Raw genomic sequence first — 23,537 nt, forward strand, 5'->3', positions numbered from 1 at the left:
CTAAAAATACAAAAATCAGCCAGGAATGGTGGCGTGTGCCTGTGTTCCCAGCTACTCAGGAGGCTGAGGCAGGAGAATCATTTGAACCTGGGAGGCAGAGGTTGCAGTGAGCTGAGATAGCGCCACTGCACTCCAGCCTGGGCAACAGAGCGAGACTCCATCTCAAAAAAAAAAAACATTGGCCGGATATGGTGGCTCACGCCTGTAATCCCAGCATTTTGGGAGGCTGAGGCGGGTGGATCACGAGGTCAGAAGTTCAAGACTAGCCTGGCCAACATAGTGAAACCCCGTCTCTACTAAAAATACAAAAATTAGCCCGGTGTACTGGGACGCACCTGTAGTCCCAGCTACTCAGGAGGCTGAGGTGGGACAATTGTTTGAACCTGGGAGGCAGAGGTTGCAGTGAGCTGAGACTGTACTATTGCACTCCAGCCTGGGTGACAGAGTGAGACTTCGTCTCAAAAAAAAAAAAAAAAAAAGAAAAGAAAGAGGGCAGGTTGGAAGCTAGATAGATCCAGACTCAAATCTTGGCTGGAAAGCTACTTGGCTGTGACCTCGAGGGAGACTGCTATCTCCCTGAGCCTCAGTTTCCTCATCTATAAAATGGGGTTTATAACAATACCTACCTCCTAGGATGGTGGTGAGGCCTACATAAGCTCAGGAGGTAAAGGGCTTAGCACAGGGCTTAGGTGTGGGGCAGGCAAGAGCCCAGAAAGCAGAAATCTGCAGAGAGAGAGAGAGAGAGAAAGAAGAGCGAGCAGGCAAAAAGAGAGGAAGAGATGAAGGCCAGAAAGAGAAACCCCCTCAGCTGCTGAAAGCAGCCACCTGTGAGAACCATGATTCCTTTCCACACCTGAAGTCTGGATGTGGCCGGGCACGATGGCTCATGCCTGTAATCCCAGCACTTCAGGAGGCTGAGGCAGGCAGATGACTTGAGGTCAGGAGTTTGAGACTGGCCTGGGCAACATGATGAAACCCCATCTCTACTAAAATTACAAAAATTAGCCAGGCATGGTGGCACACACCTATAATCCCAGCTACTCGGGAGGCTGAGGTAGGAGAATCACCTGAACCCAGGGGGCAGAGGGTGCAGTGAGCCGAGATCGTGTCACTGCGCTCCAGCCTGGGCAACAAAGCGAGACTCTGTCTCAAAAATACATAAATAATAAAGTCTGGATGAGGGTGCATCAGTGGGTTTCTGTCCCCACCCCATAAGCCAGCCTGACAAACACAGGCACACTGCCTGAGAGGATAAGGGTGCTGGGCCAGGGTAAAGGGAACACAGCAACGATGGCTCTGAGACCCACAGAGATGTCTCAGAAGAAGGCAAGGCACCCACCAGAAGGAAGCCTTTCTAGGAAGGATGTGAAACACAGAAACCACACAAGGGGATATTTAACATCGTAAAAGTTCCACTCTATGGCCGGCTGGACGCAGTGGCTCATGCCTGTAACCCAGAACTTTGGGAGGCTGCAGCAAGAGGACCACTTAAGCCCAGGAGTTCGAGACCCAACATGGCAAGACCCTGTCTCTACAAAAACATAAAAAAAAATTAGCCAGGTGTAATGGCTCATGCCTGTGGTTCCAGCTAACTCAGGAGACTGAGATGGGAGGATCGCTCGAGCCCAGGAGTTCAAGACCAGCCTGGGCAACATGGCGAGACCTTGTCTCTACAAAAACATTAAAAAAAAAAAAAAAAAAAATTAGCTGGACGTGGTGGCTCATGCCTGTGGTTCCAGTTAACTCAGGAGGCTGAGATAGGAGAATTGCTTCAGCCTAGGAGTTTGAGGCTGCAGTGAACTATGATTACACCACTGCACTCCAGCCTGGGTGACAAAATGAGACCCTGTCTCAAAAAAAAAAATAAAATAGGCCAGGCGCGGTGGCTCACACCTGTAATCCCAGCACTTTGGGAGGCCGAGGCGGGTGGATCACGAGGTCAGGAGATCGAGACCATCCTGGTTAACACAGTGAGACCCTGTCTCTACTGAAAATACAAAAAATTAGCCGGGCGTGGTGGTGGGCACCTGTAGTCCCAGCTACTTGGGAGGCTGAGGTAGGAGAATGGTGTGAACCTGGGAGGCGGAGCTTGCAGTGAGCCGAGATGGTGCCACTGCACTCCAGCCTGGGCAATAGAGCAAGACTCCGTCTCAAAAAAAAATAAAAAATAAAATAAATAAAACCCTATGGTAAATAAAAACTAAATATAAAATAAAGAGGCAAACACTGGGATAAAACCATTGAACAATATAAGTGATAAGAATCTAATGTGCACCTCCACCAAAAAAAAAGAAACGCAGAACAGAGGCCGGGCACAGTGGCTCACACCTGTAATCCCAGAACTTTGCGAGGCTGAGGCCGAGTCAGGAGGATCACTTGAGCCCAGGAGTTGAAGACCAGCCTGGGCAACATAGCAAGTCTTTATAAAAATGTCTTTATAAAAATTAGCTGGGTGTGATGGCTGATGCCTGTTGTCTCAGCTACTCAGGAGGCTGAGGCAGGAGAATTGCTTGAACCCGGGAGGTCAAGGCTGCAGTGAGCCATGATTGTACCACTGCACTCCAGCTCGGGTGACAGAGCGAGACCCTGTCTCAAAAAAACAAACAAAAAGCACAGGCACACAAGGAAAATCTGTTTGAATGTAACACAAATGAGTTTGACATCACTAGTTAAAAGCAAAGATCCTAGGTTCAAATCCCACCAGCTATGTGACCCTGGACAAGATATTTGATGTCTCTGACCCTCAGTTTCTTCAACCATAAAAGGGGATTGATAATAATAGCACCTACTGCACAGGTTACTATGAAGATTAAATGAGTTTGAAGAGTGCTTGGCACATAGTAAGTGCTCAATAAATGTTAGTGACCACATTATTTATCATCACCATTATCAGCCTCCCTTGTCCTAGCCCTGCTCACCTGAGCTATCACTGTCTAAGAATGGGGCTGTATTGGTCATCCCTGTGTCCTCAACACTGACCAGCAAGGGACCAAGCACAGAGCAGGGACTAGGGAGTGTTTGTTGACCAACTGAATGAATGAATGAGAGAAAAAGGGCTGCTTGCCCGTTTTTTCTATTGTTTGGTTTTGAGACACGGTCTCGCTCTGTCACCCAGGCTGGAGTGCAGTGGCACGGTCATAGCTCACTGCAGCCTCAACCACCTAGGTTCAAGAGAGCCTCTCCACTCCCTTCCTCCCAAGCAGCTAGGACTACAGACATGTGCTACCAGGCACCACATCCAGCTAGGTTTTCTATTTTTTTTTTTACTTTTTGTAGAGGTGGGATCTCACTATGTCGCCTAGGCTGGTCTCCAACTCCTGGCTTCAAGCGATCCTCTTGCCTTGGCCTCCCAAAGCGCTGGGATTACGGGCATGAGCCAGCCTGTTTTTGAGATGGGCTCTTGCTATGTTGCCCAGGCTGGCTCAAACTCCTGGGCTTAAGCAATCCTCTGGCCTTAGCTTCCTGAGTAGCTGGGATTACAGGTGTACCCCACCATGCCTGACTCCCCTTTTTTCTAGATGAGTCAAGTCAGGTCCAGGGAGCCTGACTGATCATTTATTTTTTATAATAAAAATAGCTATCATTACCGCTAGTCTATTTTTTTCTATTATTATGATTACTCTTTATTATTATTATTATTATTATTTTTTTTTTTGAGACGAAGTTTCACTCTTGTCCCCCAGGCTGGAGTACAATGGCACGATCTCAGCTCACTGTAACCTCTGCCTCCTGGGCTCAAGGGATTCTCCTGCCTCAGCCTCCCAAGTAGCTATGATTACAGGTGCCTGCCACCATGCTCAGCTAATTTTTGTATTTTTAGTAGAGACAGGGTTTCACCATGTTGGCCAGGCTGGTCTCAAACTCCTGACCTCAGGTGATCCACCCGCCTTGGCCTCCCAAAGTGTTGGGATTACAGGCGTGAGCCACCGCGCCTGGCATACTCTTTATTTTTAATTGTTATTGTCACTATTATTTTTCTTTTTTCTTTCTTTCTTTTTAGAGGCGGGGTCTCGCTATGTTGCCCAGGCTGGAGTGCAATGCCTCTTCACAGATGTGATCCCACTACTGATCAGTAAGAGAGCTTTGACCTGCTCCATTTCCAACCTGGGCTGCTTTGCAACCTGGTGGTCCCCCACTCCTGGGAGGTCACCACATGGATGCCAAACTTAATGAGGACACCTGATCAGCACAGAACTCCTGGGATCAAGTGATCCTCCTGCCTCAGCCTCCTGAGTAGCTGAGACCACAGACACGTGCTACCATGCCCGGCTTATTTTTTCTATTATGGTTATTATTACTTCTGTACGATTATGGTTCCTTTTTTTTTTTTTTTTTTTTCTTGAGATGGAGTCTTGCTCTGTCGCCCAGGCTGGAGTGCAGTGGCGCGATCTCGGCTCACTGCAAGCTCCATCTCCCAGGTTCACACCATTCTCCTGCCTCAGCCTCCCGAGTAGCTGGGACTACAGGCGCCTGCCACCATGCCCGGCTAATTTTTTGTATTTCTAGTAGAGACAGGGTTTCACCATGTTAGCCAGGATGGTTTCGATCTCCTGACCTCGTGGGCCTCCCAAAGTGCTGGGATTACGGGTGTGAGCCACTGCGCCCAGCCTGATGATGGTTTCTGTTATCTGCTATTGTGACTCCCCCAAGTGTCTGCTTGACCCCCTAGGCATACAGGGCCTCTCCAAGCTGACACCTGATGGGGAGGGGCGGGTGGCAGCGGGCAGGGCAGACGCACCTGGGTGATGAGGAACTTGGTGAGGCGCTCAGGCAGCCGGCCCTTCTCACTGGACAGGATCATCTCCAACATGTCCCCATGCAGCTTCTCCATCACCACAAACACTTTCTCAGGCGTCTCGAACATGCACTCCAGGTTCACGATCCCGGGATGCCGCAGGCTCTGCAGGGTGGGGAGCGGGGTCAGGGCCCAGGTAACCCACAAACTCAGACCCCAACGGGTCAGGTATAGGAGCAGGAGGATGACAAACAAGGAGAAGGATGTCCCTGGGGTATTGGCACTTGGAGAGGGAAGGGGGCTTCCCACAGGCCAAGACAGAACAGGCCCACCTCCACCCCACCTGCCAGGTGCCCAGAAGGATCTTTTTTTTCTTTCTATTTAAATATAGAGATGGGGTTTCGCCATGTTGGCCAGGCTGGTCTCAAACTTCTGGCCTCAAGTGATCCTCCCACCTCAGCCTCCCAAAGTGCTGGGATTACAGGCGTGAGCCACCATGCCCGGCCCAGAAGGATCTTTACATCCTGAAATTCTGGTGGAGGCCCAGGGTTGCAGGAGGGAGGAGGGGGAGCTTGGAGAAATGGGGAGAGCTCTGCACATCTGTATCTTTTAAATCCATACCCCCTCTCACATTCTCCAGTCCTATCCTGGCCTAACCCCTCTCTCCCACCCAGATCCCCACTCAGCCTCCTGGCTACAATCACTTCCCTTTCCACCCACCCTCCAGATGGCAGCCTGCGGGATTTTCCTAACGTACACACCTGATCCTGCCCCTCCCTTGCTCAAAAGCCTTCTGTGGCTCTCCAGTACCCTCAGGAGAAAGTCCAAAGGGTCTGGCTCCGCCCTCCTCCCTGGCCTCATCTCCCAGTACCTCCTTTCTAGAAAACCTCATGCTCCCTCTCACCAGGTCTTTGTACAGGCTGGTCCCTCTGCTAAGAACACCTTCTCCCCTTCAGTCTCAACATGCACATGCCCTCCCCCAGGAAGCCTTCCCTGACCACCCCTACACTGGGTCAGCTGGCCCATGAAAGGAAGAAGCAGAAAGGGAAGGCGGCCTGGTGGTTACCTGCAGAATGGCCACTTCATTCCGGAGCTGGCTCTCCTGCTTGGTAGGGAAGCGCAGTTTGTCAATGACCTTAACTGCCACGTCCCGGCCTGTCTTCCGGTGTTTTCCTGCACAGGGAGTAGAAGAGATGGGGGATGAGAGAGCAAGACCACCCAGTCCTGGCAGGAGTATCTCCACCTCTGCCAACCTCTGCCCCCCACCATGGAGACAGCCAGAGTTGGGCAGAGTTGGAAGGCCCCAGGAGATACGTGAAAAGGCCACCTGAGGTGCACCTTGGGAGTAAAGGCAGAAAGAAGGAAAGCAAAAAACAAACAAAAAGCTCCGAAGAAGGGAATGTATAACATGGGAAACTGGATTTATAACCAGTCGGAATCTAGCATCTAGTTTTGTGTGACCCGTAAGAGTCCTGGGGACAGGGGAGAGACACCAGCACCAGGGGAGGCAGACTGACCATATTATACAGAGAAGGAAACTGAGTCTTAGAGTTTAGAGTGTAGAAGTTACCCTCCCTGTCCTATTGAACTCTAGGATCTAGCTCTGTGGCAAATCAAAGTGTAAAATTTACCACCCGCCCCATACAATCAGAATCTAGGATTTAGCCTGTGGCCAATCAGAATGCAGAATCTACCCTCCAATCCAATCAGAATCTAGGATCTAGACCTGTGGCCAATCAGAATGCAGAATCTACCCTCCTATTCAATCAGAATCTAGGATCTAGCTCTGTGGCCAGAGTGCAGAATCTACCCTCTTTTCCAATCAGAATCTACGAACTAGTTCTGTGGCCAATATGAATGCAGAATCTACTCTATCCAATCAGAATCTAGGTTCTAGCTCTGTGGTCAATCAGAGTGCAGAATCTACCTTCCCTATCCAATCAAAATCTACCTCTGTGACCAATCAGAGTGCCGAATTTACCCTTCCTATTAATAACAGGAGGAATGTCCATTGGTTTTTCCCAATGAGAAAAGGAGAACCTGCAATCAGTCCACCCAGGATCTAGCTAAGCCAATCAACATGGGAGGTGAGCATGTGACCAATCAGAAAGGAAGGGTTGGAGCCAGAAAGAAAGGGCTGGAGCCACAGCAGCTTCCCCCAGCCCGGGGCTCCCTCTGGGTTAGCTCTGAAGTGTCCTCACCTCCATAGACCACTCCAAACTGCCCTGAGCCCAGCACTTCGTCAGGGAAGATCTGGTAGACAGTGGCAATGTCCTACAGGGTGAAGACAGGGCAGGTCAGGGGTGCAAATGGAAATGGGGAAGGGGGAGTCAAGGAGACGAGAGAGCTGAGGAGGGTTTGTGGGAGGGGAGGGCATCAGGTGGGGGCAGGAGTCTCACCACATTCTCTTGGATCTGACTGTTGGACACAGAGATGCTCAGAGAAGCTTGTCCTAGGGAGAGGGGAGAGACAGAGGTGAGGGGACTCCAGGCTCAGGATTATCTCCACCCATACCTGCAAAAGCAGACTTGGGAGTCAGGCCACCCAGATTTGAATCCAATGTTCGATACAATGTGCAACTTCAGGCTGGTGACTTGTCCACTACGAACCTCAGTTTCCTCATCTAGAAAATGGGAATAATAAAAGGACCTCCCTCATAGAGCCACCAGGAGGAGTAAATGAGATGTGCTGAGTGGCTAAAGGAGTGATGTTACAGATGATTTTGCTGAGCATTTTACCCCAGGATCTCAGCACCAGGGGAGGCAGACTGACCCCATTGTACAGAGAAGGAAACTGAGTCTTGGAGGGAAAGCCCAGACTGACTCCTGCATCTTCCCTTGAACTTTTCCCCCTACAAACCCAACCAGAGCCAGACATTTCTAAAGTCCGATCCTTCTGCCATTTGAATGTCTCTCTCTTCCACCAGTCTAGGCCCCTGCTCGCCCCCCAACTCTGGGTCCTCACCCCACAGCCCCTTCCCTGGTCTCCTTGCCCCAATCCTGCCCCTTCCTACTCACCTCCCACAGAGAAACCAGAGGGATCTTACTGAGGCACAAGACTGACCCTGTCCCTCCTCTGCTCACAACTCTGCCATGGCTCCCCAGTGCCCTCAGGAAGAAGCCTGAGCCCCTTAAATGGCCTAAAAGCCATGGCCTAGACCCTCATCTACCTCTGACTTCTACCCCCAACATGCTATTCCTGACACACTGGCCTCCTTGCTCGGCCTCAAATACAGCAAACTCTCTTCTGCCTTCTGGTCTCTGCATATGCTGTTTCCCCTGCCAGGAATACTCTTTCCTTCATCCTAGACTTAGCTAAATCCTCCTCATCCTCAAGTGTAAGCTCAAATGTCACTCCTAGGACCAAGTTGGATTACTCTCGCAAATGCTCTGCATCACACTCGTTGCTTGTATGGGTTAATGATCAATGTCTGTCACCCACACTGGATTATAAGCTCCAGAGGGTGGGAACCTGGTACTCTCTCAACATTTTTTGCCTCTGCCTAAAATGACCTCCCATTTTCTTTCCCACATCTCACCCTGCCTCGGCCTCCAGATCTCAGTTCAGATGTCACCTCCTCCAGGAAGCCCCCCTATATACCCAGATTGGGTCAGGTACCCCTCTGGGCTCCTCTAGCTCCCTAGCTTCCTTGTCCCAACCCTGCCCACCCTGGACTGTCACTCTCTGAAGATGGGTATTCTGCCCTACTGGACTCTGAGCCCCATGAGGGCAGGTCTTGGGCTGTCCTGGCCACCACTGGGTCCCCAGCACTGTCCCGCACAGAGGAGGCACTCAGTAAGTGCATGAGGACTTATCAGCACCTGGGACAAGGCTCATGGAGGGGAAGTGATATGCCCAGGGCCACATATCAGGCCAGGAGCTTAACAGAGATTTGTTGTGGATTTTTGTTGTTGTTGTTTTTTCTGTTTTGGAGACAGAGTCTTGCTCTGTCACCCAGACTGGAGTGCAGTGATGCAATCATGACTCACTACTCCCAGGCTCAAGCAATTCTCCTGCCTCAGCCTTCCAAGTACCTGGAACTACAGGTGTGCACCACCACACCTGGCTAATTGTTTTTATTTTTTGTAGAGATGGAATCTCATTATGTTGCCCAGGCTGGTCTTGAACTCCTGGCCTCAAGTGATCCTCCCTCCTTGGCTTCCCAAAGCGCTGGGATTAACAGGAGTGATTAACAGAGTTTGAACCCAGGCCTGCTGAGTCCAGAAGCTGCGTTCTCAACCCCACCATTGCCCACTTTCCTCTTTGGCCCTTCCATTCCCCAGAACCGTGCCCCACCCATCTAGATCTATTCTCTCAAGGACCCGAGGTGGGAGGACTTACTGTGGGGCGCGTGGCCTGGGGCGCTGGGTGCGTCCTGAAGGATGACGGGCATCAGGGCCTGGCGGATGGCTGTCTCCCAGCCCCGGGCGGCCTCAGCCCCCTGCCCACTTGGCCCACCCGGAGTCCCGCCAGGCATCTCGCCCACGAAGTAGGTGGCATTGGCAGTGACGATCTCAAAGCAGTGTGGGTTGGTGCCCGGCGGCACAAGGCTGAAGTTCTGGGCGGACTCCACCGTGAGGATTTCTGACAGCGGAATTTCCTGCAGGACGTGGAACCAGCACAGGTGAGGATGCCAGGCAGACCTTGGAATTCTAGTGCTTACCCAGAAGGATACACGGGATCCATGTTGATAGGGATGGGCCTGGTTTGCACAGTGGTCAGACAAGTTCCCAGTAATTCTAAGCCTGTTCTCACTGTTCTTTTATAATTACTGGCAGAGGCCAGGTGCGGTGGCTCATGCCTGTAATCCCAACACTTTGGAAGGCCGAGGTGGGCAGCTCACTTGAGGTCAGGAGTTCGAGACCAGCCTGGCCAACATGGCAAAATCCCGTCTCTACTGAAAATACAAAAATTAGCCAGGCGTGGTGGTGTGCGCCTGTAATCCCAGCTAATCGGGAGGCTGAGGCAGGAAAATCGCTTGCACCTGGGAGGCGGTGGTTGTAATGAGCCAAGATCGCACCACTGCACTCCAGCCTGGGCGACAGAGTGAGATTCCGTCTCAAAAATAATAATAATAATACTAATTACTGGCAGAAGTGATATTGAAGCAGAGACCAGAAAGGTAAGAAGCAGCCAGTTGGCAAGGAGTAGGGGAACAGCATGTGCAAAGGCCCTAAGGAAAGGCTATGCTCAAAAGCCAAGCTGTATCCCCATCACATGGGCGGTGCCTGGACATAGTAAAAGCTTGATAAACATTTGATGGCCGGATGTGGTGGCTCGTGCCTGTACTCCCAGCACTTTGGGAGGCCGAGGTGGGCAGATGGCCCAGGAGTTCAAGACCAGCCTGGGCAACACAGTGAGACCCCAGCTCTACAAAAAATTTAAAAATTAGGCATGGTGCCACAAGCCTGTAATCCCAGCACTTTGGGAGGCCAAGGCAGGCAGATCGCTGGAGCCCAGGAGTTTGAGACCAGCCAGAGCAACACAATGAGACCCCCATCTCTACAAAAAATAAAAAAACTAGCCAGGTGTGGTGGTGCGCACCTGTAATCCCAGCTACTGTGGAGGTGGGAGAATCATTTGAGCCAGGGAGGCAGAGGTTACAGTGAGCCATGATCATGCCACTGCACCTGGGAGACAGGGCAAGAGCCTGTCTCAAAATAAATAAATGGGCTGGGCATGGTGGCTCATGCCTGTAATCCCAACACTTTGGGAGGCCAAGGCAGGCGGATCACAAAGTCAGGAGTTCGAGACCCGCCTGACCAACATGGTGAAAGCCCATCTCTACTAAAAATACAAAAATTAGCCAGGCGTGGTGGCACACCTATAATCCTAGCTACTTGGGAGGCTGAGGCAGAAGAATCACTTGAACCCCGGAGGCGGAGGTTGCAGTGAGCCAAGATCGCGCCACTGCACTCCAGCCTGGGTGACAGAGCGAGACTCCGTCTCAAAAATAAACGTTTGATAATAAATGGAGGAAATGAGGCCACACAGGGCTTTGCGGGCCACAAGGAAGAGCCTGGGCTTTGTCCAAGGGCCCTAGGAAGCCACTGAAGGCTTTTGAGCATCATCCGCTTGTGTGCGGAGGGCAGATGGAATAGAATGAGATGGAGACAGAGAACCAGGAAGGAGGCTGAGGGGACCCAGGCGGGACAGAAGGCACAGGGACTATGGGGTGGGAAACGTGTCAAAAGAGGAAGGAGGGAGGTAGGAGAGAGGAAAGAATGAATGACTTAGGCAGCCCATAAAACCAGGTGATGACATGGACACGTCGGGGGGGCATGGTGAGGACAGCATTATATTTTATTTTATTTTATTTTTTTGAGATGGAGTCTTGCTCTGTTGCCCAGGCAGGAGTGCAGTGACGCGATCTCAGCTCACTGCAACCTCCACCTCCCAGGTTCAAGCAATTCTCCTGCCTCAGCCTCCCAAGTAGCTGGGGTTATAGGCACCCGCCACCATGCCCAGCTAATTTTTGTATTTTTAGTACAGACAAGGTTTCACCATATTGGCCAGGCTGGTTTCGAACTCATGATCTCAAGTGATCCGCCCACCTCGGCCTCTGAAAGCGCTGGGATTACAGGCGTGAGCCACCACGCCTGGCCAAGGACAGCATTTTAGATGGTGTGGTCTGAGCAAAATGGGAAGATGATAAGGAACCAGCCATGGAAAGTTCAAGGAAGACGCTCCAGGGCAGGTAACAGCTGGAGTCCAGGTTTTATTACTCTAAGACAATGGGAGCCACTGGGGGGTTTGACGGTTTTAATGAAGACTCCCCTGGCTGTGGGGGAAATGACAGAGGTTGTGAGGTCAGAAGCAAGGACCCTGCAAGGAGAAGGCTGAAACCATCCAGGTGGAAGACAGTGGCTGGGACACAGTGTGGGCATGGGAGGTGGTGACGAATACGCACACAATGCAATACATTAATTATAAAGAAATAGTGAGGCCGGGTGCGGTGGCTCATGCCTGTAATCCCAGCACTTTGGGAGGCCGAGGGGGGCAGATCATGAGGTCAAGAGATCAAGACCATCCTGTCCAACATGGTGAAACCCCGTCTCTACTAAAAATACAAAAATTAGCTGGGTGTGGTGGCATTCACCTGTAGTCCTAGGGTGGGAGGCTGAGGCAGGAGAATCGCTTGAACCCGGGAAGCGGAGGTTGCAGTGAGCCGAGATCGCGCCACTGCACTCCAGCTGGGCGACAGAGTGAGACTCTGTCTCAAAAAATAAATAAATAACAAAAAATAAAGGAATAGTGAGAACAGCCTTAGAATTACTGGGAGCTTAATATATACCACGCCTTAAGCCAATTGGTTTAGTGGATTGGCTCTTTGAATTCTCGCACCAGCCCTGAGGTGAGTATTAGCATTTGAGGCATTTTGCAGGTGAGAAGCGTGAGGCACTGAGAAGTAAGGGAACCTGCCCGGAGTCCCCCTGGCTGGAAAGTGGTGGGGCCAGAATCGGATGGGCAGCACTTGCTGATGAGCTGGAAGCAGGGAGGCTGGGGGTGGGCAGAGGGTGTGATTTGCAGGATCTGTCTGGAGTAACTGGGGGTAGGAGGAGGTGTGGGAAAGTTTGTGGGCACAGCGGGAAGTCCGAGGGAGCTGAAAGCCCGGAGGCTTACCTTATAGTATCTGTTGGTCGTGTTGTTCTGGAAGAGCGTGATACACTTGCAGTCCAGGCGCCAATAGTGCCGCTTTCTCTGCAGAGATGTTTGAAGAGTCACGTGAACCGCCAGACTTTCCTGCCCAGTCCCTATCCCGTGGAGCTGCTTGGGGCTCCAGGTGCCTGGAGCACCACGTGCACGCCGTAACTCTAGCACCTACCCCACGCCGTAACCCCACCCCACCACACGCCCTAACCCCAGCCCCGCCCCTAGCCTTAACCCTAGCCCAGCCCCCACGCCCTAACCCCAGACTCGCCCCCACTTAGCCCTCTTCCTCCAGCCAAGCTCCTCCCCTAACTCTAGCCCCGCCCCTGACCTTGCCCTGAGCCCCGGGTCTTCCCTAACTCCTGCCCGTAGTCCCACCCTTACAGCCCACACTTCTAATTCTAGCCCCGCCTCCAGCACGGCCCAGCCCACTACTGGCCCCGCTCGCGCCTAGCTCCAGCCCCACCCACCTAGCCCCGCCTACTCAAGCTGAGCCGCCCCTCTTCCAGCCTTCGCTCCGCCGTACCCGGCCCCGCCCCGGCCACTCACCAGCGTGTCCTTGTTGCTGTAATGAACCACCCAACCCTCCCGCAGCGTGGTGCTGGATTTCCGCGTCGTGTGTCGCACCGATTGCACCACCCTCATTAGGGGGATGTACCCCAGGGAGCTGCGAAGGAAGAGGAAGGGGTGAGAAGTCACATGCAGAAAGTGACCATGCTGCTTGGGAATGCAGGGGGCATCTCTGGGAAACTAGGGAGTTGGGGACTGTTTTTGTTTGTTTGGTTTGTTTTGACATTTTCCCCCCAACACACACCCGGGAGTTGCTTTTTGTTTGTTTTTAAGAGGCTCGCTCTGTCACCCAGGCTGGAATGCAGTGGTGCGATCTCGGCTCACTGCAACCTCTGCCTCCCGGGTTCAAGCGATTCTCGTGCCTCAGCCTCCTGAGTGGCCGGGACAATCACGGTGACCATTAGGTGCACGCCACCACCCCTGGCTAATTTTTGTATTTTTAGTAGTGATGAGGTTTCACCATGTTGGCCAGGCTGGTCTCGAACTCTTTGCCTCAACTCCTTCCCTAACTCCTGCCCCTAGTCCCACCCTTAGAATCCCTTCACGAGATCCATCCGCCTCGGCCTCCCAGAGTGCTTACAGGTGTGAGCCACCACGCTGGCCCAGAAGGAGATTCTTGAGAGGGCTTCTGTAGTAGGCCTTTCTGAAGTCAGGCTGCCTAGCAAATTACCTAACCTCTTCATGCCTCAGTTTGTCCACCCAAAGGGGATGCTATGAGGAATGGAAACCTTTCTACGGAGCTTAGTACAGTGCCTGGCATACAGAGGACCTCCAGTAAGTGCTAATTGGTATTTAGTCCAGCAATTGTGGAGCCAGCTGTGTGACACTGGGTAAGTGATTCAACCTCTCTGGGCCTCACCTCCCTCATTTGTGCAGATGCTGTTAGTACAGTAAGGAAGGTCTACAGAGATTAAGTGGCCTGCTGGGCATGGTGGCTCATGCCTGTAATCCCAACACTTTGGGAGGCAGAAGTGGGGGGATCACTTGAGGTCAGGAGTTTGAGATTTGAGAGATTAAGTGACTTGCTCAACTCTGGAACCAACAATCTCTGGATCCCTGTGCTAGATCAGAACCTGGGTGGCCTTGATCACATCTCTTTGCCTGAGACTCAGTTTCCCCATCTGTGAAATGGGCTGCCTCTCCCCACACCCGCCACCCCCAATCCCTCAAGGTCCAACTCTTGACAGTGTATGACGGTGTTACTAGGCATTCCCAGGAAAGACGTGGGAGAAAGGGAACCTGCGGCTTCAGGCTGCTTGGGTTGGGAGGCACCGCAGGAAACACTCTGTCGTCACTGTGACTGGCTTACCCATCCCCTTTCTGTCCAACCCTCTTCCCCTCGCCCTCCCTGCTGCAGCTACATGGGTCTCTTTGCTGTCCCTGGAACACGGTGCCTCCACCCCAGGGCCTTTGCACTCGCTGTTGCCTCTGCCTGGAAGCCTTTTCCCCCAGAGCCCCACAAGGCTCCTTCCCTCCCCTCCCTTCAACTGCCACTTCCTCAGCGAGGTCTCCTTGAAGGACCCTAAGATAGCATGTCCCCCATTCTCCATCTCCTCTTGTTTTTATCACCATTACCAATACCCGATGCTATGGATGCATTTATTAGCTGTCTCCCCACTGAGGCAGTCAGCTCCAGAAGGGCAGACTTTTACCTCTTTTGTTCATAGCTGTGTGCTTGAACACAGCAGGTGCTCATTAAATATTTTCCAGTGCACCTGTGAGGGTGCCCCCTTACCCCTACCCCAGGTTTATCACCCCGTGGGGTAGGTACCTCATCGCCCCAGGAGGAAACCGTGGCACACAGGGAAGCGCCTAGCAAGTGAAGTGGTAGAGCTGGGATCTGGGCTGTCACCCTCCAGCGCCTGTGTGAACTGTGCTTTCTCAATAAACATTCACGCCACACCCAGATAGGAAGTGCCTGATCTGAGCCAGTCCTGTCCTAGGCACCTGGGAGGGCAGAAAATATCCTTGCCCTCATGCACCTGAGCTCACATTCCAGTGGAGCTGACTAAGTATGAACTCCGTGTATAGTTTAAAAATGTGTAGGCTGGGGGCACAGTGGCACACACCTGTAATCCCAGAACTTTGGGAGGCTGAGGTGGGAGGATTGCTTGAGCGCAGAAGTTCAAGACCACCCTGGGCAACATAGCAAGACCCCCTATCTTAAAAAAAAAAAAAAAAAAAAAAGAAGAGGAATATAGGTCAGGCGCGGTGGCTCATGCCTGTAATCCCAGCACTTTGGGAGGCCGAGGCAGGTGGATTACCTGAGGTTGGGAGTTCAAGACCAGCCTGACCAACATGGCAAAACCCTGTCTCTACTAAAAATACAAAAAAAGTAGCTGGGCCTGGGCGGGTGCCTGTAGTCCCAGCTACTTGGGAGGCTGAGGCAGGAGAATCGCTTGAACCCAGGAGACAGAGGTTGCAATGAACTGAAATTGCATCACTGCACTCCAGCCTGGGCAACAAGAGCGAAACGCCGTCTAAAATTAGCCAGGGATAGCAGTGCATCCCTGTAGTCCCAGATACTCGGGAGGCTGAGGCAGGAGGATCACCTGAGCCCAGGAGTTTGAGGTTACAGTGAGCCACAATCACACCACTGCACTCCAGTGGGCAACAAAGCAAGACCCTTTGGGAGGCTGAGGCGGGTGGATCACTTGAGCTCAGGAGTCAGGAGTTCAAGACCAGCCTGGGCAACATAGGGTAGACCCTGTCTCTACAGAAATACAAAAATTAGCTGGGTGTGGTGGACGAGCCTGTGGTCCCAGCTACTCGAGAGGCTAAGGTGGCAGGATCGCTTGAGCCCAGGTGGTCGAGGCTGCAGTGAGTCAAGACTGCACCACTGCACCAGCCTGGGCGACAGACCGAGACCCTGTCTCAAACAAAAAATTATTTAAAAAAAATTGTAGTGCTTTAAAAGGTTTGCCTCAGGAACTGGGAAAATTTATAAATATGAGGTGATGTCAGCCCATTGTAGAGAAAAAGAAATTGAGGTTCACTGTGCAGGAGGGTCTTCCCCCAGGGTCTCTTGGAGGGTTCTGTGTATACCTCTGGGCCTTGCCTCCCTCGCCTTCCTCCTCCTCACTGGCGTGGAGCGCATTCTCTGAGTGGGAGCCAGGGATGACACCGGAGTCCTCTGACTCATCCATGAGGGCGCTCTTGTCAGCCTCGCTGAAATCGGTGGCCTCCTCCATCGGCACATCTGTGGGGACGGAGGCATCAGAGGGGTCTCCACCCAGTCCTGCCCCTTCCCCTTTCTCCCCAGCATCCCCCCAGCCTCTCACCTCCATTGATAAGGGCCTCCCCCAGGCAGTCATTAGGGACGCGGGTGGCGCAGCGTTTGTGACAGTTAAACTTGCAGTCTGGTAGGACAGGGAACAAGGGAACGGGTGAGAAGGGGAAGAGAGGTTACCTGGAAGGCTTGAACCTTGACCCTAAGCCTCAGGCTCAAAAGAGTCTACTCTTGCTGTCTGGGTAAGAACACTGGCTGCTGCTGCCCTGGTCATTTTCCCACTTTCAGCCACAGTTTTCCCAACCATCGGGGGGGTCTTGATTAAGTAGGAGGGCTAGACTCAAAATCCCGACGACTGCTGGGTGCAGTGGCTCCCGCCTGTAATCTCGGTATTTTGGGAGGCCGGGGAGAGCAGATCATTTGAGGTCAGGAGTTCGAAACCAGCCTGCCCTACATGGTAAAACCTCGTCTCTACTAAAAATACAAAAATTAGCTGGGCGTGGGACTACAGGCGCCCACTACCACGCCCAGCTGATTTTTTTGTGTTTTTAGTAGAGACGGGGTTTCGCCATGTTGGTCAGGCTGGTTTCGCGCTCCTGACCTCAGATGATCCACCTGCCTTGGCCTCCTAAAAGTGCTGGGATTACAGGCGTGAGCCACCGCGCCCGACTTGTGTGTGTGTGTGTGTGTGTGTGTTATTGGTTCTAATGTGCTGTGACTCCAGACTCTGAACACCCTAGGGCTGGGTTCCTCAACCCGTGACACTAACACAGTGCCCAGGATAATTCCTTGTTTTAGGGCACTTGCTCTGTGTATTGTAGGATGTTTAGCTGCATCTCTGACTTCTACCTACTGGATGCCAGTAGCACTATCCCAGCGTACCAAACAAAACCATCTCCAACCCTTGCCAAACATCCCCTAGGAGCAAAACGGCCCCTGGTCGAGAACCATTGCTGTAGAGTTCAGTGTTTCCACGGTTCTAGGGACACTATACATCGAAGATTCTAGAGTTTACTAAAAACCTATTTTATGAAGGTTCTATGATTCTGTTTTTTGTTTTTTTTTTTTTTTTTTAAGAAACAGTCTGGCTGTCACCCAGACTAGAGTGTGCAATGGCACCATCTCGGCTCACTGCAACCTCTGCCTCCCAGGCTCAAGCGATCTTCCCACCTCAGCCTCCTGAGTAGCTGAAACTACAGGCACGCACTACCATGCCTGGCTAATTTTTCGTATTTTTTGTAGAGATGGGGTCTTTCCATGTTGTACAAGCTGGTCTTGAACTCCTGGGCTCAAGCAATCCACCCACCTAAGCCTCCCAAAGTGCTGGGATTACAGGTGTGAGCTACTGCCCCTGACCTGATTCCGTATTTCTAAGGCTTCAGAGTTTGATGTCCAAGTTTCTAGAACTCTAGACATCTATGAGTCAACACTTCTAAGACTCTTTAATGTCCAAGATTTTAGGGTGTTATATATCTAAACTCTAAAATTTGACAGTTCTAGGGTTCTACAATTCTAGGCTTCTCTACCTCCAGAATCTGCAGATTCCAAGGTTCTAGGATTCTATACATACAAGATTCTAGAATTTGATGTTTCTATGCTTCTTTAGCTCTAGGCTTCTAAGATTCTAGAATTTGATTGTTCCAGTAAATTCTTGAATTGGATGTTTCTAAGTTTATGTGGATCTAGGCTTCTGAGGTTCTAGAATTTTTTTTTTTCTTTTTTTGAGACAAGTTCTTGCTCTGTCACCCAGGCTGGAATGCAGTGGCACAATCATGGCTCACTGCAGCCTCAACCTCCTGGGCTCAAGCAATCCTCCCTCCTCAGAGTCCCAAGTAGCTGGAACCACAGATGCATGCTGCCATGCCTGGCTAATTTTTAATTTTTTTTGTAGAGACAGGGTTTCACCATGTTGCCCAGGCTGGTCTTAAACTCCTAGGCTCAAGTGATCCACCTACCTTGGCCTCCCAAAGTGCTGAGATTACATGCATGAGCCACCACACCTGGCTGGATTCTAGAATTTGATTGTTCAAAGTTCTGGGAGTCTAGAATTTCCAGGATTCTAGGTTACGATGGTTTCAAGCTTATATGATTCTAGACGTCTAAGACTCTCAAATTTGATGTGCCTATGTTTCTATTACCCTCAAATCCCATGGTTCCAAAATTCTCATGCTCTGAGAGTCTATAACTTGGGAGATCTAAGATGTGTAATCTAAAGTTCTGTTGTTATTTTAGCTGAATTCTATCATTCGGAATTCTTGAATGCTATGGTTCTGATTCTAGAATTCTCAGGTTCTACAGTTTTAGAATTCCATGCTAAGCACGTTATGAATCTAGGATTCCAAGGTTCTAAAGACTGAGGTTCAGCTGGGCGCGGTGGCTCACACCTGTAATCCCAGCACTTTGGGAGGCCGAGGTAGGAGGATTGCTTGAGCCCAGGAGTTCAAGACCAGCCTGAACAATATAGTGATACCTTCTCTCTACAAATGATTTAAAAATTAGCTGGGTGTGGCCAGGCGCGGTGGCTCACGCCTGTAATCCCGGCATTTTGGGAGGTCGAGGCAGGTGGATCACAAGGTCAGGAGATCGAGACCATCCTAGCTAACATGGTGAAACCCCGTCTCTACTAAAAATACAAAAAAATTAGCCAGGCATGGTGGCGGGCGCCTGTAGTCCCAGCTACTCAGGAGGCTGAGGCAGGAGAATGTCCTGATCCCAGGAGGCAGAGTTTGCAGTGAGCCGAGATCACACCACTGCACTCCAGCCTGGGCGACAGAGTGAGACTCCGTCTCAAAAAAAAAAAAAAGAAAAGAAAATTAGCTGGGTGTGGTGGCACCACCTGTAGTCCTAGCTACTTGGGAGGCTGAGGCAGGAGGATCACTTGAACCCAGGAGGTTGAAGCTGCAGTGAGCCGTGATTGCGCCACTGCACTCCAGCCTGGGTGATAGAGTGACACCCTGTCTCCAAAAAACAACAACAACACACACACACACACACACACACACACACACACAACTGAGGTTCTAAGATTCCAGAATTCCAAAGGTCCCAGAACACTAGGATTCAGGGCCCTCCCCTTCTGAGGCCCTGGGGTCCCAAGGCTCAGATCCTTGTGTCCTGCCACAAGACCAGGTTGGGGCGGGAAGGAGGTTCTGACCCTGTCTGTCCTCCCCGACAGGCCCAGCTAACCTTTGCATTGCAGGCCCTGCCGGAAGAGGCCCTTGAGGAGTTTCTTGCAAGCCTGGCAAACGGTGGGCCGTGTATAGCTGTGGATGAGGAAGGTGTGCGGCACCTTGACCTTGGAGAGCAGCATCTTGTCCAGCTCAATGGGGCGGCCCGTATACGATGAGGCAGAAGAGGAGGAAGAGGATGACGGGGGACGGCGAGGCAGGAGTTCGGTGGTGCTACGGCTCTGTCGTTGGCAAGAATGGAGGGGACACATCAGTGCGTTGGCCCCATGCCTGGGCCAAGTCACCCCCCTAGCCACCAACCCGTCCCATCCCCCATCTCCTCACCAGCTCTTCAGCCGTGCAGGGCAGGGACTCGGAGGTGCCGAGGCGCACCGAGTGGCCACTGGCCAGAGACGTGGATGACAGGCGCCGTTTGCGGGCCCCACTACAGTTGTTGGGGATGCTGAAGGCACAGCGCTTGTGGTAGTTCAGCCCGCAGCCTGCAGGGGGCGCCAGAGAGTAAGAGACATGGCGTCTGCCCCTCCTAGGTCTCTTCTTGAGAAGTTGTGCCCTTTCCACCCAATCTCTCACCTGGTCCTGTCCCATCACCCCCCGCCAGCACGATCTCCTCCAAAAGGCACTACTATCCGTAAGTGTATCAGCCCCTTCAGGCCCACCCCTCCTTAGAGTTCTGCCCCAAGTTCCAGCTTGTAGCCCCACCATCACCCCATCTGTCCCCCAGACCCTGAACACACCCACACCCCTTTTCTCACTCCAACAAGGGACACCTCAAAGGCTCCCCCCAAAGCTCTGTCCCCAGTTTCAGCTTGTAGCCCTGCCATCACCCCATCTGTCCCCCAGACCCTGAACACGCCTCACACCCAAAATTTTCCCACTCCAACAAGGGATACCTCAAAGGTTCCCTCCAAAGCTCCACCCCTAGTTCCAGCTTGTAGCCCCGACATCACCCCATCTGCCCCCCAGGCCCTGAACGCGCCTCACACCCCACCTTTTCCCACTGCAACAATGGATGCCTCAAAAGTCCCCGCCAAAGCTCTGACCCAGCCCCAGTCCTCTATGGTAAGCACCTCCTTCTAGTCCTCCCCAAAACTCCTGTCCATCTCCCTAGAGACACCTGTTCCCCCTTCTAACCCTGACCTTCCTTTTTCTGAGGCCCCTTTGGTTCCCCCTCTTTCCCCAACCCCAACTTTCCAAAAGAAAATGCCTCTCCTCACCCCCACCCCTAAGGTCACTATCCCTCCAGGTCTGCTCACCCCCTGTACCCCACTTTCTCTTTTCTGTAGACCTGGAATCCAGGCAATCCCTAAGTAGTGTGATTAAATCTTAGTAGTGTGGGCCACGCATGGTGGCTCACGCCTGTAATCCCAGCACTTTGGGAGGCCAAGGCCGGCGGATCACTTGAGGTCAGGAGTTTGAGACCACACTGGCCAACATGGCAAAACCCCATCTCTACTAAAAATACAAAACTTAGCCGGGTGTAGTGGCACACGCCTGTAATCCCAGCTACTCCGGAGGCTGAGGCAGGAGAATCACTTGAACCCAGGAGGCAGAGGTTGTAGTGAGCTGAGATCACGCCACTGCACTCCAGCCTGGGCAATACAGCGAGACTCAGTTTCAAAAAAAAAAAAAGAGTTCTCAGTTGTACTCAGGTCCATTGTACCATACTAGGCAGAAGTATGACTTCTTATTGTCTTATTTTATTTTGTAGAGACAGGATCTCCCTGTACCCCCGGCTGAAGCACAATGGCACAATCATAGCTCACTGCAGCCTTCAACTCCTGGGCTCAAGTAATCCTCCTGCCTCAGCCTCCTGAGTAGCCAGAACCACAGACATACACTACCATGCCCAGATAATTTTTTTATTTTTATTTTTTTGTAGAGATGGGGTCTCGCTACATTGCCCAGGCTGGTCTTGAACTCCTGGGCTCAAGTGATCCTCCCACCTCAGCCTCCCAAAGTGTTGGGATTACAGGCATGAGCCACTGTGCCCTGCCTATTTTATCTTTTAAAATCCTCATCCATGGAGAAATCAGCTCAACTCCCTGTTTCCCACTGGACGTTCTGTATGTGTGCTCTAATACATCTCCAGTGATTCCAAACGATTCCAGGATCGCTTTCTATTCTGGAGTGAAGAATGTTCCTCCAGCCTTTGGGAGCCCTTCTGGTACCCGCCTGCTCCAGGCTTTCCAGTTCCACACCTCCTCATTGTAGGCACTGTCTTGGCTGCATGCTGTAATCACGGAGGCAAGCTTGGAGAACGGTGTTGGCCCTGCAAGAAGAGCTTCAGCAGGGCAAATGGTCTTTGCACACAGGAACCATTTCCCAGTGTTGGCCTTGAATCACTCATGTGCCTTCCAGAATTTCAGAATCTTATCTATAACTCTCAGAATGAGTCTCAGGATAGAGTTAAACTCCTGTCGGAATGTAGTCATTTGGGGTTCTCTTGCCACCATAGGAACTGGGACCATCATCTGTGATGCTGCACCAGTGAAGTCTGTGCTGATAACCCATTAGGACTTGATGACACCAGGGCTGTATCATGACAAAGACTGCATATGCTGAGACCTCAAGAGTTGGATATGGTGTGTGGACGATGGCAATATTTATAAGAGCTTTTAATGCACTGAATCAGTATCTGCAGGCCTAGAGTCCTTAAATAATACAAGTATACTTTGGACTGCATGATGATCTGGAACACAGGATATTGGAGAAACTGGATTTCTTTTTTTTTTTTTTTTTTGAGACGGAGTCTCACCCTGTCACCCAGGCTGGAGTGCAATGGTATGATCTCGGCTCACTGCAACCTCCACCCCCTCAGGTTCAAATGATTCTCCTGCCTCAGCCTCCCGAGTAGCTGGGATTATAGGTACCCGCCACCACACCCAGCTAATTTTTCTAGTTTTAGTAGAGACAGGGTTTCACCATGTTGGCCAGGCTGGTCTCTAACTCCTGACCTCATGATCCGCCCGCCTTGGCCTCCCAAAGTGCTGGGATTACAGGTGTGAGCCACCGTGCCTGGCCCAGAATCAGGATTTCTGTACAAGCGTGGCACCCACGGAGCTAGAGATGCTGTCTCAGACCTAATACCCAATGGAACATCCAAGAATATGGCTCTAATTGCAGGGCACACCATACAAAAATGGAGGCGCATGGGGCCCAGCGCAGTGGCTCATGTCTGTAATCCCAGCACTTGGGGAGGCTGAGGAGGGTGGATTACTTGAAACCAGCCTGGCCAACATGGTGAAACCCCGTCTACTAAAAATACAAAAATTAGCCAGGAGTGGTGGTGCGCACCTGTAATCCCAGCTATTTGGGAGGCTGAAGCAGGAGAATTGCTTGAACCCAGGAGGTAGAGGTTGCAGTGAGCCAAGACCACGCCACTGCACTCCATCCTGGGTGACGGAGCAAGACTCTGTCTCACACACACAAAACAATGGAGCCACAGGGTCTCATCACAGAATGGATGGTCCTCACCTGTCATCTGTCCTCATAGCCAATGCAGGTACATGGCCTTCATCTGTAGGCAGAGCCCCGATTTCAACATTCTCACTCAGAAGCATGAATAACAGGGACAGAGGACCTATATAGATCTTGACACTTGGGCTGAACCTTGAGACATCTTGGCTTAAAGAACTGTATGTTTTGGACAGGCGCGGTGGCTCATGCCTGTAATCCCAGCACTGTGGGAGGGCAAGGCGGGTGGATCATTTGAGGTCAGGAGTTCAAGACCAGCCTGGCCAACGTGGTGAAACCCCGTCTCTACTAGAAATACAAAAATTAGCCGGGCAGTAATGGTGTGTGCCTGTAATCCCAGCTACTCGGTAGGCTGAGGCAGGAGAATCGCTTGAGCCTGGGAAGTGGAGGTTGTGGTGAGCTGAGATCGCGCCACTGCACTCCAGCCTGGGTGACAGACTGAGACGCTGTCTCCAAAAAAGAAAACCTGTATATTTTTAAACTATGATTTAAGGAGATATGTATGGGTGCTGTTATGGACTAAATGTCTGTGTCTCCCCCAAAATTCTTATGTTGAAACCCTAACCTCCAATGCAACTATATCTGGAGACGGTGCCTTTATGGAGGTAATTAAGGTTAATTGAGGCCGAAAGAGTGTGGCTGTAATCCAATGGGACTGGTGACCTTTTTTTTTTTTTTTTTTTTTTTTTTT

The 23,537-nt window shown here is 51.6% G+C and overlaps 1 protein-coding gene and 1 pseudogene across 7 annotated transcripts in view, besides 1 other annotated feature; both read right to left on the bottom strand.

Annotated features, from left to right (window-relative positions):
* Window positions 1-23,537, bottom strand: part of PRKD2 (protein kinase D2) — a 42,799-nt gene that overhangs the window by 10,483 nt on the left and 8,779 nt on the right. For all 7 annotated transcript variants that reach the window (NM_001079881.2, NM_001079880.2, XM_005258716.3 and 4 more), the window contains 11 exons: window positions 19,697-19,851; window positions 19,371-19,593; window positions 16,237-16,314; window positions 16,001-16,154; window positions 12,935-13,052; window positions 12,359-12,436; window positions 9,077-9,335; window positions 7,135-7,187; window positions 6,937-7,009; window positions 5,802-5,908; window positions 4,739-4,900 (listed from right to left, as the gene is read on the bottom strand). In NM_001079881.2, the coding sequence (NP_001073350.1) occupies window positions 4,739-4,900; window positions 5,802-5,908; window positions 6,937-7,009; window positions 7,135-7,187; window positions 9,077-9,335; window positions 12,359-12,436; window positions 12,935-13,052; window positions 16,001-16,154; window positions 16,237-16,314; window positions 19,371-19,593; window positions 19,697-19,851 (1,460 nt within the window). The remainder of the gene's footprint in view (window positions 1-4,738; window positions 4,901-5,801; window positions 5,909-6,936; window positions 7,010-7,134; window positions 7,188-9,076; window positions 9,336-12,358; window positions 12,437-12,934; window positions 13,053-16,000; window positions 16,155-16,236; window positions 16,315-19,370; window positions 19,594-19,696; window positions 19,852-23,537) is intronic.
* RN7SL364P (RNA, 7SL, cytoplasmic 364, pseudogene) lies at window positions 3,999-4,270 on the bottom strand (annotated as a pseudogene).
* Window positions 12,773-13,273: an enhancer, noted in NCBI's record as "H3K4me1 hESC enhancer chr19:47200828-47201328 (GRCh37/hg19 assembly coordinates)". NCBI's record gives its function as "activates a minimal SCP1, AML or CMV promoter by ChIP-STARR-seq in naive H9 embryonic stem cells {active_cell/tissue: H9 hESC(naive)}" and the evidence as "EXISTENCE:reporter gene assay evidence [ECO:0000049][PMID:30033119]".

This window comes from Homo sapiens, chromosome 19 (genome assembly GCF_000001405.40).
Source record: "Homo sapiens chromosome 19, GRCh38.p14 Primary Assembly".
In the NCBI taxonomy this organism is placed as follows: Eukaryota; Metazoa; Chordata; class Mammalia; order Primates; family Hominidae; genus Homo; species Homo sapiens.